This window comes from Homo sapiens, chromosome 15 (assembly GCF_000001405.40).
Source record: "Homo sapiens chromosome 15, GRCh38.p14 Primary Assembly".
Classification (NCBI taxonomy): domain Eukaryota; kingdom Metazoa; phylum Chordata; class Mammalia; order Primates; family Hominidae; genus Homo; species Homo sapiens.
This window is the reverse complement of record NC_000015.10, coordinates 100,117,429-100,129,927: the sequence shown is the minus strand read 5'-3', so window position 1 is coordinate 100,129,927 and position 12,499 is coordinate 100,117,429. Positions and strand designations below refer to the sequence as shown.

The window sequence follows — 12,499 nt, the reverse complement described above, 5'->3', positions numbered from 1 at the left end:
TTGGAGTCATGGCATTGGGCCTGACCCTGTTGGTTAATGGTCATGTGACCTCACGACTCTTCTGTTCCCTGGCCTTAGTTCTGCCCACTAGAGGGAGCGGACATGGTAGAGTGGGAAGAGCCAGGCTTCAAAGCCAGGACAGACAAATCTTCAAATCCCAGCATGACAACTTTTTTTTTTTTTTGAGACGGAGTTTCGCTCTTGTTGCCCAGGCTGTAGTGCAATGGCGCGATCTCGGCTCATCACAGCCTCCACCTCCCAGGTTCAAGCGATTCTCCTGCCTCAGCCTCCCGAGTAGCTGGGATTATAGCCATGCACCACCACACTCGGCTAATTTTGTAATTTTAGTAGAGATGGGGTTTCTCCATGTTGGTCAGGCTGGTCTCAAACTCCTGACCTGAGGTGATCTGCCCACCTTGTCCTCCCAAAGTGCTGGGATTACAGGTGTGAGCCACTGTGCCTGGCTGCCAGCATGACTTCTTATAGCGCCGACGGCTGGTACTTGTCTTTTCATCTGAAACTTGGAAGAATTCATGGGAATGCACAGAAAGTCCTTGGTGTGTATTTAATAAGCAGCCCCTCTTGTTATTAGCACTCACAGAAGAACGAGGATGGTACCAGTTGCCCTTCCCTGTCTAAGGCTTTGTTAAGTGCAGAGAGAAATTGGCAGGGATTGTGGTTGTCATGGGTGCTCCACGTTTGTGATTGGAGTTTGTGGGTCCTAGTGGAAGACTGGTCTTCTTGGCACGTTACGTGTCTTATCTCATAACAGGTGACACCCAGTAAACATCATAGCAGGAGGATATCAGAACCTCTGAATGTCTGAAGGAGCCAGTGTCCTGAGACTGTCAACATTTAAGTTGTCTCTAGGCGAGGGCAACATTTGCAAGAATAAGACGTTATCAACGCTATGCAAATGCCATAGGTGCCTCTTTGAAGGGAACTGGTGTTGTCTGCCTTCTCGGGATGACATTAGCTAGGGCTTCCCTGGCATTGGTAGCCCAAAGACAAGGCTTTCCAGAGCTTTTTGCCTTCATGTCTTGGCAGGAACCCTGTCACCATCTGAACTGCTTCCTGCCCTGCCCACCCATGGTTGCTCTGGGATACCACAGGGGCATTTTGCTCTGGGGGGATCCTAAACACCACCCAGTTCAGACAGCGGCATTAGTGTACTCTCGTACTCTCGCTGGCCTGGCCTGCCATGGGGTTTCTTATATTGGGATTCTCACCCCATTCCCCCAGGTCCCATGGCCCCAGGAGAGAGGCTGTTCTGTAAATCACAAAGTTGTGAAAATCTTTCACTCTTCTTCTTCATCAGGTCCTCCCTCTCCCTCGCCATGATAGTCGTGGCTGTTCTCTCCCTTGCTTTTTCCTGTATTTTATCATTGAGGAATGGGAGAATTTGCAGGGCCTCGGTACACAGACAGCTGAGGGTTTGTGGGTCTCAGCACGTCGGATTGTTAGTCATTGATGCATCTTCACGTCCAATCTCTGTTGTCCAGCAGCATCGTCCTGTGGGGCAGGGCGATGGCAGAAGGAACAGAAAGAGCCTGCAGCATTCCCACTCCTCCCAGCCGCAGGCCCCTTCCTGATGAAGCCTTTCCAACATGAAGCCTTCAGTAAACCTTGCCAGGGCCTGAACTCTGCTAGCTGTGGGCCTGCAGTGAGAAGCAAACACAGATAAAATCCCTGCCTACCCACAAGGGATGCAGTCCCACCAGCTCCCCTTTGTTCTCTCACAGACACTTCAAACAGGACCCTTTCTAAACTGGGACCTCTACTCCTAGCCCACATCTCCCCTCTCAGTAAATAGCACCACCATCCTTGCATTGCTTGAGTCCAAAGCCACTGAGTCCATGCAGTTTCCTCTTATATCCTTTCTGCCTCCTCCATGTCTGGTCATGAGGAGGGTGGTGAATGCAGCAGACCTGCACCACGCACTGGGTTCCCTTAGGCATTTATGTAGGAAATTATTGAATGCAGCCCCATGGGAGAGGTATTATTTTTATCTTCATTGTACAGAAAAAAAAAAAAACTTTATCAGGGGGCCGAGCCCAGTGGCTGATGCCTGTAATTCCAGCACTTTGGGATTCTGAGGCAGGTGGATCACCTGAGGTCAGGAGTTCAAGACCAGCCTGGCCAACATGGTGAAACCCTGTCTCTACTAAAAGTACGAAAATTAGCCAGGTGCGGTGGCACATGCCTGTAATCCCAGCTACTTGGGAGGCTGAGGCGGGAGAATCGCTTGTACCCGGGAGGTGCAGTTTGCAGTGAGCTGCGATCACACCACTGCACTCCAGCCTGAGTGACAGAGTGGGACTCCATCTCAAAACAAAACAAACAAACAAACAAAAAATAGAATCACATTGAAGTTTGGTAACTTGCCCAACGTCACACACGAGGCAGCGGCAGGCCACGTTTGGAGCCCAGTTCTAGAAACCAGAAGTCCAAAATCAAGGTGTCAGCACAGTGCTTCCTTCTTGAAACTCCAAAGGTGAATCCGTTTCGTGGCTCCCGGCAACCCTTGGCCTCCCCTGGCTTGGAGGTGCATCACCTCCATCTCTGCCTCTGACTTCACGTGGTCTCTTCTCTGTGTGTCCTCTCACCTTTTCTTCCCTTGGAAGAACGCTTGTCATTGGATTTAGGGCCCACCCAAATCCAGGATGGTCTCATCTCCAGATCCTTAGCTTAATTACATCTGCCAAGGCCCTTTTGCCAAATAAGGTCTCATTTGCAGGTTCCGAGTGGACTATCTTTTGAGGCCGAGGGGACCCACCGTTCAGCCCCCTGCAGCCTCGAAGCCTCCTTTGTGCTCTCGGCCACAGCATTCTAACCCCAGGACCCTCCCCAGTGCTGTCTTCCCTTTCCTTAACTTACCCTTTTCCTTTCTTTGGGTGTTAGTGTAAATGTCTTCTCAAGAGATCTCTGCCCCTGACAGCCTGCTTCAAATGGGGTGCTGCTTAAGTCTCCCTCGGCACCTCTTCCTTACGTTACACGTGTTACAACAGCTGATATTGTTGTTATGTATTTGCTCACTTGTTTTGACTGTGTCCTCCCCACTGGCCTTTGAGCTGAGAGCTCTGTGCAGGCCCGGGACAGGCCACACCTGTTTGGACACCATGCTGCCTTCCGTGCCCACAGCAGAGCGGCCACTCCATAAAATGTGCTGACTGCCTTCCTGCCTGGATGTGCACTTGCCCCAGAAAACCAATCTCTCTGCAATACCAGTGCCTCCAAAACACATCCCTAATATCATTTTTTCACTGAAACACAAAGCTGATCATAAACGATTAGGCCAAAAGTGGCAGACCACCAGGTAGACCTCATGCCCTTGTATCATCTCCCCTCACTGAGGCCCAGATGCTATAAACGGCCACATGAGGCCTATCTGTCACCTGTTGTGCCTGCCCTTCTCCAGCAAGGTGGCATCTCAGTCTGGAGTGCTCGGCATCACCTTGAGAACAAGCTTCAACACAGAACCCAGCCTTGTTTTTCCCCAGTAAGAGAAGTGATACCTTTTTGCTCCTATAATATTTACACCTTGGTAGTCTCTTCGATCTTTCGCAGTGGCACCGTAGCTCTGTTTTCTGTTGTGAATGAAAACAACATGCTCCTTTTTCCCATGTAGTTTTCTATGGAGTTTCTTGCCTCCATGGATCCAGCCCAGGTGAATGGGAAGAGGCGGGACAGGCCTTGGGTGGGTGGATTACCAGCCATCTCCGGGGCTTCCCAAAGAGACGCAGGATGTGGCGTGTTTTATGAAGTCCAGGCTGCAGCCTCCAGCCTGCTTCTGCAGGATGCCCTGATGGTAGTGATGGTTACAAAGCGCAGCTGACCAGGGCCTCAGAGCCAAGCTCTGACGAAAACAACGTCCTCTCCCCGTCTCACTCCTTAAATCACCAGGCCTGCTGCCTAGAGATTTCACAAGGTTGTCCCAAATTCACTGCTATGTAGGTCTCAGGCTTGGAACGCTCCCACGACCCCCTTCTCACCCCCTTCACTTTATATTCCTGGCTCTGCTCCCTGTCTTCTGCAGCTGGTTTATTCACTGTCCAAAAATACTGGCAAGAGAGTCCCCCCACACACAATTATTTTTTTTAGTCTTGGTCTTCACAGCTCTTGGAATTTTTATTTTTTGCTAGCTGACGTGGAGGCCTTAGGGACCATCGGTGTTTCCAAAGCGACTCCCTAGGCCCGTCCTTTCCTGCTATAATTTATGTTGCTGTTGGTGGGAGTTACGTCAGAAGACTGCAGGGTAGAAAATGCATCTCTAATTTACCTTCTGTTACCCCTCGACAGTTTGTGTGTGGGGAAGAGCTGGGGAGGGAGGGGAGAGGAAGGCTCAGATGCACTTGTATGAAAAGCCAGCTGCATCCCAGCAGGTGCAGCAGGGGCAGGAGAGTGGAGTGCAGAGCTGGGACACAGCAGGGTCATCATGAGGTGCCGCCCACATGCACCAGAAAGGGAGAGGAAGGCGGCTAGCCTGCTAAGACGGCGGGAGGACGGCTGGTGTAAGGTTATGTGCCTGTAACTGGTTTTTGCTTCCACAGTGAAACCCCATCTATGTGCTTTCCATGTGCCAGCGATCTGGCATTCATATGGATAATTTTTAAAAATTTAAGTATTCTACACTGAAGCATAAGTTACATGTGTTACTTGGACACCTTTCAGAGGAGGCCTTAAACCTGGGATGTCTGCTGCCCTGAGGGTGCGTTAGCAGCTCGCAGCACTTCTGAAACCCTATGGCTTTGCCCTGCTCTCTTCTCAGAGCTCACAGAGCCAGGGGCCGCCAGGGCAGGGACCAGAACTGCCAGGTTTGTACTGAGCGTCCTGTGTCTCTGGATGGTGAAGCTGGTCCGAACTGCTGTTGTGACTTTATCTTCTGGTCTGTCTTCATTTAATACAGCAAACCTGAAAATAAAAAGTGGCATCTTTCTCTTCCAGCCTCTCTTGATTCTACCTGTCCATCCACTCTCAAAGAAAGGGGCAGATGTTCTGCCATATGATCCTGTTGGTCTCAGCAAACCTTTGCTGCTTCTCTGCTCTGGGCTTGTGTCTATCAAGGCCCTGAGGACTCCACTTCAGCAGGAGACGGTCCTTGTTCTGCAGGCGCTTGGGAAATTTTGGGGTAGAGCTCACCTTTCTCTCCACGCTTTCGGTTTCTCACCAAAGCCTCTCTACCTTACTCTTTTGCTTATTTTTAAACAAACTTATGAAGGTAGAATATACAAAGAAGCACAGCTCCGTGCACAGTATTGCTCATCACGGTCGAGCATGTGTGTTGGGGCGCACGTGCAGGTATATGTCAGTACAGTAGGAGGGCAGTTGCTGGCCCCTGGGGCGCGCATGTGTGACCACATAACAGCTGCCAGCTTTGCAGAATGGCCGTGCCATCTCCATTGCCGTGGCTGGGGTGGCTTTCTACTTGCCCCATGTCCTCACTGACACCGGTGTTGTCAGTAATTCTCTCTGGTTTTGGCCGTTCGGATGCGTGTGTAGCAGTATCTGGCTGGGGAATTGGTACTTTCCTCATCAACAGTGAGGCCGAACTTCTGTTTCCTTATTTGCCATTTGGATATCCTTTTCTTGTGAAGTAGCCATGCAAGCCGTTTGGTTTTGTATCTAAGCTTCTATTTTATTCACGTTTAGGAGTCCTAGAACAGGCCTGGCAGAGTGGCTCATGCCTATAATCCCAGCGCTTTGGGAGGCCAAGGCGGATGGATCACCTGAGGCCAGGAGTTCATGACTAGCCTGGCCAGCATGATGAGACCCCATCTCTACTAAAAATACAAAAAAATTAGCCGGGCATGGTGGCGCACACCTGTAATCTTAGCTACTCAGGAGGCTGACCCACAAGAATCACCTGAACCCAGGAGGCAGAGGTTATAGTGAGCCGAGATCTTACCACTGCACTCCAGCCTGGATGACAGAGCAAGACTCTGTCCAAAAAAAAAAAAGTCCTAGAACAGAAAAACTAGAAACGATTGATAGTAAAAATTCAAATTAAAAAACCCATCACACCCCGATGACTGGTCAGTGAGTCAGGCTGTCCTTCAGGCCTCGTGGTGGCTGATGGGCAGCCCCTCCCAGAGGCAGAGGCAGGGGCAGGGCGCCTGTTCCTGCTGGGTCCAGGAGCTCTTGCACGCTACATTTCTTCTCTCCACCTCTTGCTCGTCAGCCAAGCGGTTATGTCACCTGTTGGAGCGTTGATTTCCTCACCCAAAGGGTGCAGTCAGGAGCACCTTCTGATTCTGCATGTGGATTTAATGAAGTAATGGTTAGAAGGGCCAGCAAAATGGGAGCCCTCTGGGCGTGTCGGCTGTTTTATGATCACTGTTTATGTGAAAGTGCCTCTTGCCTTGAAGTTTCTTCCCGGTCCTCAGGGATCAGTCCTCATTTCAGGATGAGATTGCAACTTGTTGGCTTTCCCCTGGAGGCCTCATGGGACCTCGGAGCCTTGGAGCCCAGTAGGGCTGCGCCTTCCTGCCCTCACAGGAGAGGGTGAGGGAAAGACTGGACCCACCTTCAGCTCCTGGGAAGGGATAACTCTATCACGAATCTCTTATATTAACTGTTCTTTATTTTAGCCCTGTCAAGCTGTCTTTCTGTCGTTTTAGTCTCCCTAGATGTGTTTTGTTTTTCTCCTTACTGCGTAGCTCAGAGCAACTTCCAGAGTGAGTAAGAGCCCTGCCCTCTACTACTGAGACTGTGTGAGGGTGGTCTCTCCGGTTGCTTTTGGGGATCTGGTCCCTGCTGCACTCGCTGGCCCCGCACACTGTCTCCTGAAGCCCCGTGTCCACACAGTTCAGGCTTCATCCACCCAGCCCAGTGTGGGGTCCTTGGGAAAGTTGGGGCCTCCTTTGAGTCCTCCCCCAGAACTTCTGTCAGGTAGCCATCTGTGGAAACTGCCAGCCACACCCTCCCCCACAAGGATTCTCCTTCTGTCTTCTCTATGCCGCAGATGGAGGATGCCTCTTTCTGTTGTCTCAGGACCAAGGTACAGTTGACTCTTGAACAACATGGGTTTGAACTGTGCAGGTCCACTTATACATGGGTTTTTTTCTGTCTCTGCTGCTCCTGAGACAGCAAGACCAACTCCTCCTCTTTCTCAGCCAACTCAATGTGAAGATGATGAGGAGGAAGGCCTTTATGATGATCCACTTCCACTTAATGAGTAGGAAATATATTTTCTCTTCCTTATGATTTTCTTAATAACCTTTTCTCTAGCTGACTTTACTATAAGAATATAGTATAAAACACATATAACCTACAAAACATGTTAATTATGTGATCAGCAAGACTTCCATTTGATAATAGGCTATTAATAGTTAATTTTGGGGGTGTTAAAAGTTATATGTGGATTTTCTACTACATGTGAGGGGTCAGCATTTCTAACCCCCACATTGTTCAGAGGTCAGCTGCACATGCAGGAGGCCCGCATTGATGTTACTGTAGAGGCCCTGTGTTATAGAGACAGTCATAAAAAATGAAGGACCACATGTGGGGTCCTGCCGCATAGCAATTGGGGATTATTTAGGTAGCAAATTGTGTACCTAGTGGATTACTTCTCTCCTTTCTCATGTCGTTCAAAATAATGACTTAAAACTGAAGAAAATCAGTTCCTGTGGTCATATTTTTAAATCAGGGAAAGTTCAAGGAAATATTAGCTATAACAGGTGGTTGGAGTAATGGGAACTTACTAAGAGGTAAAGAGAACTCTAAAGAATACAGGAAGAGCAGAAGCAGGTAGCATCCTGTGTCTTTAGGTCTGAGGCAGAGCACCCAAGGAAGGAACAAATCTTGATGACAGTGACTCACACACAGCTACTGTGAAGGACAGACAGTAGCTGCTACCACAGTTTTGTCCAGGGATGAAATTCCTTGGACCTTGTTAGAGAGGGTGCAACTGGGGCCCACTGAATGAGGGAGAGGCTTGTAGAGGTTCTGTACTGGTGGAACTCTCTGGGAAGCCACACTTAAGATGTCAGGGAAAGGTTCCAAGGGAAGAAACTGCATCTCCAACCAGGATAGGAATCTATCCAAAAAGTTGGTGTGCTTGGAAGCTACCCACTGGAGTACAGGAGAATGCTGTCCACAGGGAGGTGGAATGCATCACAGGCCACTGAAGAAGCATGCTGAGAGAAGCCACATACCAGGACCAGGGAGAAAAGCCTGTTCCTCCTGCATTCAGGTTACATCTAGTATCCTTTCATTTGAACTTGAAGGACTCCCTTTAGCATTTATTGTAATGCAGGTCTAGTGGTAACAAACTTTCTCCATTTTTTGTTTATCTGGGAATGTGTTAATTTTCACCTTGATTTTTGAGGGACAGTTACATGGATATAGAGTTCTTGCTTGACGGTTCTGTTCTTAGGCACTTTAAGTATATAAGCACACTTCTTTTTGGCCTTCAAGGTTTCTGGTGAGAAACTGGCTAATAATCTTGTTGAAGATCCCTTGTATGGGATATGTCACTTCTCTCTTGGTGCTTTCAAGATTCTCTCTTTGTCTTTTGGCAGTTTAATTACAATGTGTCTTAGTATGGGTCCTTGTATCCTACTTGGAATTTCTCGAGCTTCTTGGATTTATAGAGTCACATCTTTCTTTACATTTGGTAAGCTTCAGCCATTATTTCTTCAAATAATCTCTTAACCCTTTCTCTCTTTTTTCTCCTGAGACTCGCTTAGTACCTACATTGATCCACTCGATGGTGTCCCACAGATATCTCTGCTTACTTTTCTACATTTTTTTCTTTTTACTTCTCAGACTCAGCAATTTCAATTGTCCTATATTCAAGTTTGCTAATTCTTTCTTCTGCCTGCTAAAATCTTCTCTGAACTGGTGGATTTTTCATTTCAGTTCTTATACTTTTCAATTCCAAAATTTATCTTTGTTTTCTTAACTTCCATATCTTTATTGATATTCTCATTATGTTTATAGATTGTCTTCCTGTCTTTATCTGTGCCTTCATTTGGTTCCTGAGCATTTTTAAGACAGTCGTTTTAAAGTATTTGTCTAGCAAGGCCAACATCTGGGTTTCCTCAGGGACAGGCTCCGCCAATACATTTTGTTCTTTTGAATGAACCATACTTTCTGTTTCTTTGTATGCCTTGTGATGTTTTCATTAAAAACTAGACATTCAAATCTTAGAATGCAGTAACTCTAGAAATAGATTGTACCCCTTCCCCAGGGTGTTTGGTTTTGTTTTGTTTTATGATTTAGTGGTATCTCTGGATCAGGAATTAACCTGAAGTGAAAGCTGAAGGTCTTATCAGGTCTTTTTTGAACCTGTATCTTTTCCTAGCCATTGCTGGTGGCTTTCTAAGTTCTCCTAGATGAAGTTGCTTTTAAATGTCTTTGTGCCTAAATGTCTGGCTCCTAAAAGAAAAAAGGAGGGAAATCCCCTGGAAGCCACTTCACCTGGTGGAGGTTACAGCAATGTCAGCCATCTTCTGCATCTGCACCTTAACAACTGAAAGTAGCAATCAACAGTCAGAACACAGAAACCAGATATTTGGAAGATAAGGTTCTTACTGCTCACCCTGACTCCAGAAAGTTGCAACAGGAGCACAGACATAGCTGCCTGCCTTGTGGGTGAAGGATGGGCAGTAACTGTTACCACACTAAAGGCTGAAATTGAGCAAAATTAACTGAAATTGACCTGGCTTTCCCCTGGAAGCTGCAAGCCTTCAAGTAGACTGCAGAGTTTCAAAATAGTTTCTTCAGGTAGTTTTTGCCAGTGTGATTATTGTCTGGATGGAGAACTGGATTCCTGGTGCTTCCTCCTCAGCTCTCTTCCCGACATCATTCCCTCTGTTGGTCATTTTAAGATCAGCTCTGATAATATAGTTCACGTCAGTCTAGTGCTTATTGGAGACCCTCCTGTGCAATGCTCTCTGCTGAGAACACAGAACCCAGATATTTGGGAGATAAGATCCTTCCAGATAAGAGGAACAGGAGGAAGACAGCCCTCCATTTCATAAGGTTAGTGGTAAGCAGCATAGCAGATACCCAAACAAGATGTGGAGATGCTCCAGGTAGGAAGGAAAAATAGGGTGGAGGTGGCCTCAAAGATGGACAGAGGGTTAGGAGGTGGGAAGTGGGGATTACGGGGCCTGTGAGCTAGATAAGGGGCCACACAGAGACTGCCTGTTGGAGAATTTGTCAGGGAGAAGCAGCAGCAGAAGCAGATGTGGAGGGAGGTGTGCCAAGGCACGTGTGGTATCCCATGTGCTCCGCCTCCAGACCCACTTGCTTCTGGATCCAGTTCTCTTACATCATATCACATCATATCTCCTCTCCGCCTCCTCACTGTCAGAGGTGAAGGTAATTGTTGTGTGCGGGTTAGGCAGATGTAAAACTGGAGAAATCAGCTACTGGAAAGGCGAGGAAACTGAAGCGTAAAAGGAAGCTCGATAACCACTCAGGAAGTTAATCACATGATGTTCACCAATCAGAGTCTATACTCAAGTGTGTAGGAAAGGTAGCTTTCTTTATTCTTCTACGAACCCACCTAATTTGTATTTCTTTACTCCCTTCCAGTCCGTGTTTTGTTCCTCATGACTTCATGTCTGCCCTGCTTTCCCTTAGTCTGCATGTAAGTTCCGCGAGGAGCATCTGGTCCTTGTGTCGTCCGGTTCCTTAGTTTCCTGGGGCTGCCATAACAAAGGACCCCCAACCAGGCGGCTTCAACAACCAGAAGTTATTGTCGTACAGTCCTGGAGGCTGGAAGTCCAAATCAGGGTGTCGACAGGGTTGGTTTCTCCTGAGCACTGTGAGGGAGAATCTGTTCCAGGCCTCTCTCTCAGCTTCTGGTGGCTTGCTGACAATGTTTGGCATTCTTTGTGTGTCTCTCTGCCTGTCTCTGTGTGTGTGTGTGTGTGTATCTCCAGATGTCCCCTTTTCATAAGGACACTTCATATTGGATTAGGGGCTCAACCTACTCTAGTATAGCCTCATTTTAACTAATTTTGTCTGTGCCCTGTTGACCCTGTTTCCAAATCGGGTTGCACTCTGAGGCACTAGAGGTTAGGACTTCTGCATAGAGTTTTGTGGGGGCCCAGTTCAGCTTGAAACGTTGTGCCATGCTGCATCTGCTGCCTCACTCGTTCCTTCTCCGGTGCCCGCTCGTGGGGACTCACTTATTGCCAGGGTGATGTTTCTCCTACTGATCCATGTGGCTTTTGGGGGCCAGCCCTTCTGTGCTCCTTCCATGCCGTGTTCCGTGGCACAGGATTTGATTCATTCTGTCTGCCAATGGTACCTGGCCCAGGCTGCCTGGGGAGGCTGTCCGAGGCCCCTTCTGCCTAAACACACCATGCAGTCATTTCTCTGGAACTGATGCCTCCCTTGCCTTCTAGACAGGAAGCAGAACACAAGGCCCCTCTGTTCTCAGATTCCATAAACCTTCTAGAGGGTTAGCCATTGCCTAACTGGAAGACCAGCAGAGCTCAAGGCCCCACTATGGGGCCACCAGTAGGTTTAATCTCTCTAGATCTCTTCTTCTCCTGGGGGAGGGAACTGTTTTCTAGTGTATATGAGGTAGACAGAAGTATGAAAGGGGCCTTTCTCCTCAGGATATTTTCTCCAAGACAACTGGGTAGACCAGGAGTTGGCAAAAGTAAGGCCCGTGGGCCAAATCTGGCTTACCACCAGGTGTTTATAAAGTTTTATTGGGACACAGCCATGCCTGTTCTTTTACATGTTATCTCTAGCTGCTTTTGTGCCACAGTAGCAGTTGAGTGGTTGGAGACTATTTGGCCCACAAAACCAAAAATATTCACTATCTGGCCCTTCACAGAAACATGTTTTCAACCCCTGGAGTAGACCTTTATGACACAAAAGCCCAAAGGCTTCTGCCCTCTTCTGCTGTTACATCTCTCCCCTAAAGCACCAATCACAGGGTGGTCTTGCTCTCTGAACATGGAAAATGGCAAAGGAGGAAAAAGAAATACACAACACGAAATGGCTAATGTGTCCAGATGACATTTGGCCAACAGGTGTGTGTGATTTGTGGAAATTCATTGAGCAGAACTGTTTGGATGTGTGCCCTTTTCTTTCTTTCATAGACTGAATTTCAATAAAAAGTGCGAGGGGTGGGAGTGGATAAGAAATCTTATTCCATCATGATGACCTTGGCATCATGGAAACGAATGGAACCACTGAGGTTGCCCAGGTTGTCAAGGACACCCTGGGGCCTTGCAGAAGCACAGGGCAGAGCCATGCTTTGCCAGCCAGGCCCTCACACATGTGGACTTGGCCAGTGAACACAGTCTGGAACTCCGGAATGGCTTAAAACCCCAGCCTCAGCACAGAGCATCTAGGATCCAAGACCATAGCATTGACCATGTGTGGTCTCACACCTGCCCAGGTAAAGGTAGCACAGCCCGGATCTAACTGGTCTCCAGTCAAAGCCCATGAGCAGTGAACTCGTTGTTCTTATTCTTTTCATTATAAAGTAAATGAGCTATGTATTTACTCATCCTGAAACTTAACCTCC

The 12,499-nt window shown here is 48.0% G+C and overlaps 1 protein-coding gene across 18 annotated transcripts in view, besides 1 other annotated feature; it reads left to right on the top strand.

Annotated features, from left to right (window-relative positions):
* ADAMTS17 (ADAM metallopeptidase with thrombospondin type 1 motif 17) overlaps nt 1–12,499 on the top strand; it is a 370,539-nt gene that overhangs the window by 212,048 nt on the left and 145,992 nt on the right. The window lies entirely within an intron of this gene.
* Nucleotides 5,465–6,664: an enhancer, noted in NCBI's record as "P300/CBP strongly-dependent group 1 enhancer chr15:100663469-100664668 (GRCh37/hg19 assembly coordinates)". NCBI's record gives its function as "activates an origin of replication core promoter dependent on BRD2, BRD4, P300/CBP, MED14 and CDK7 cofactors, with strong dependence on P300/CBP, by STARR-seq in HCT116 cells {active_cell/tissue: HCT116}" and the evidence as "EXISTENCE:reporter gene assay evidence [ECO:0000049][PMID:35650434]".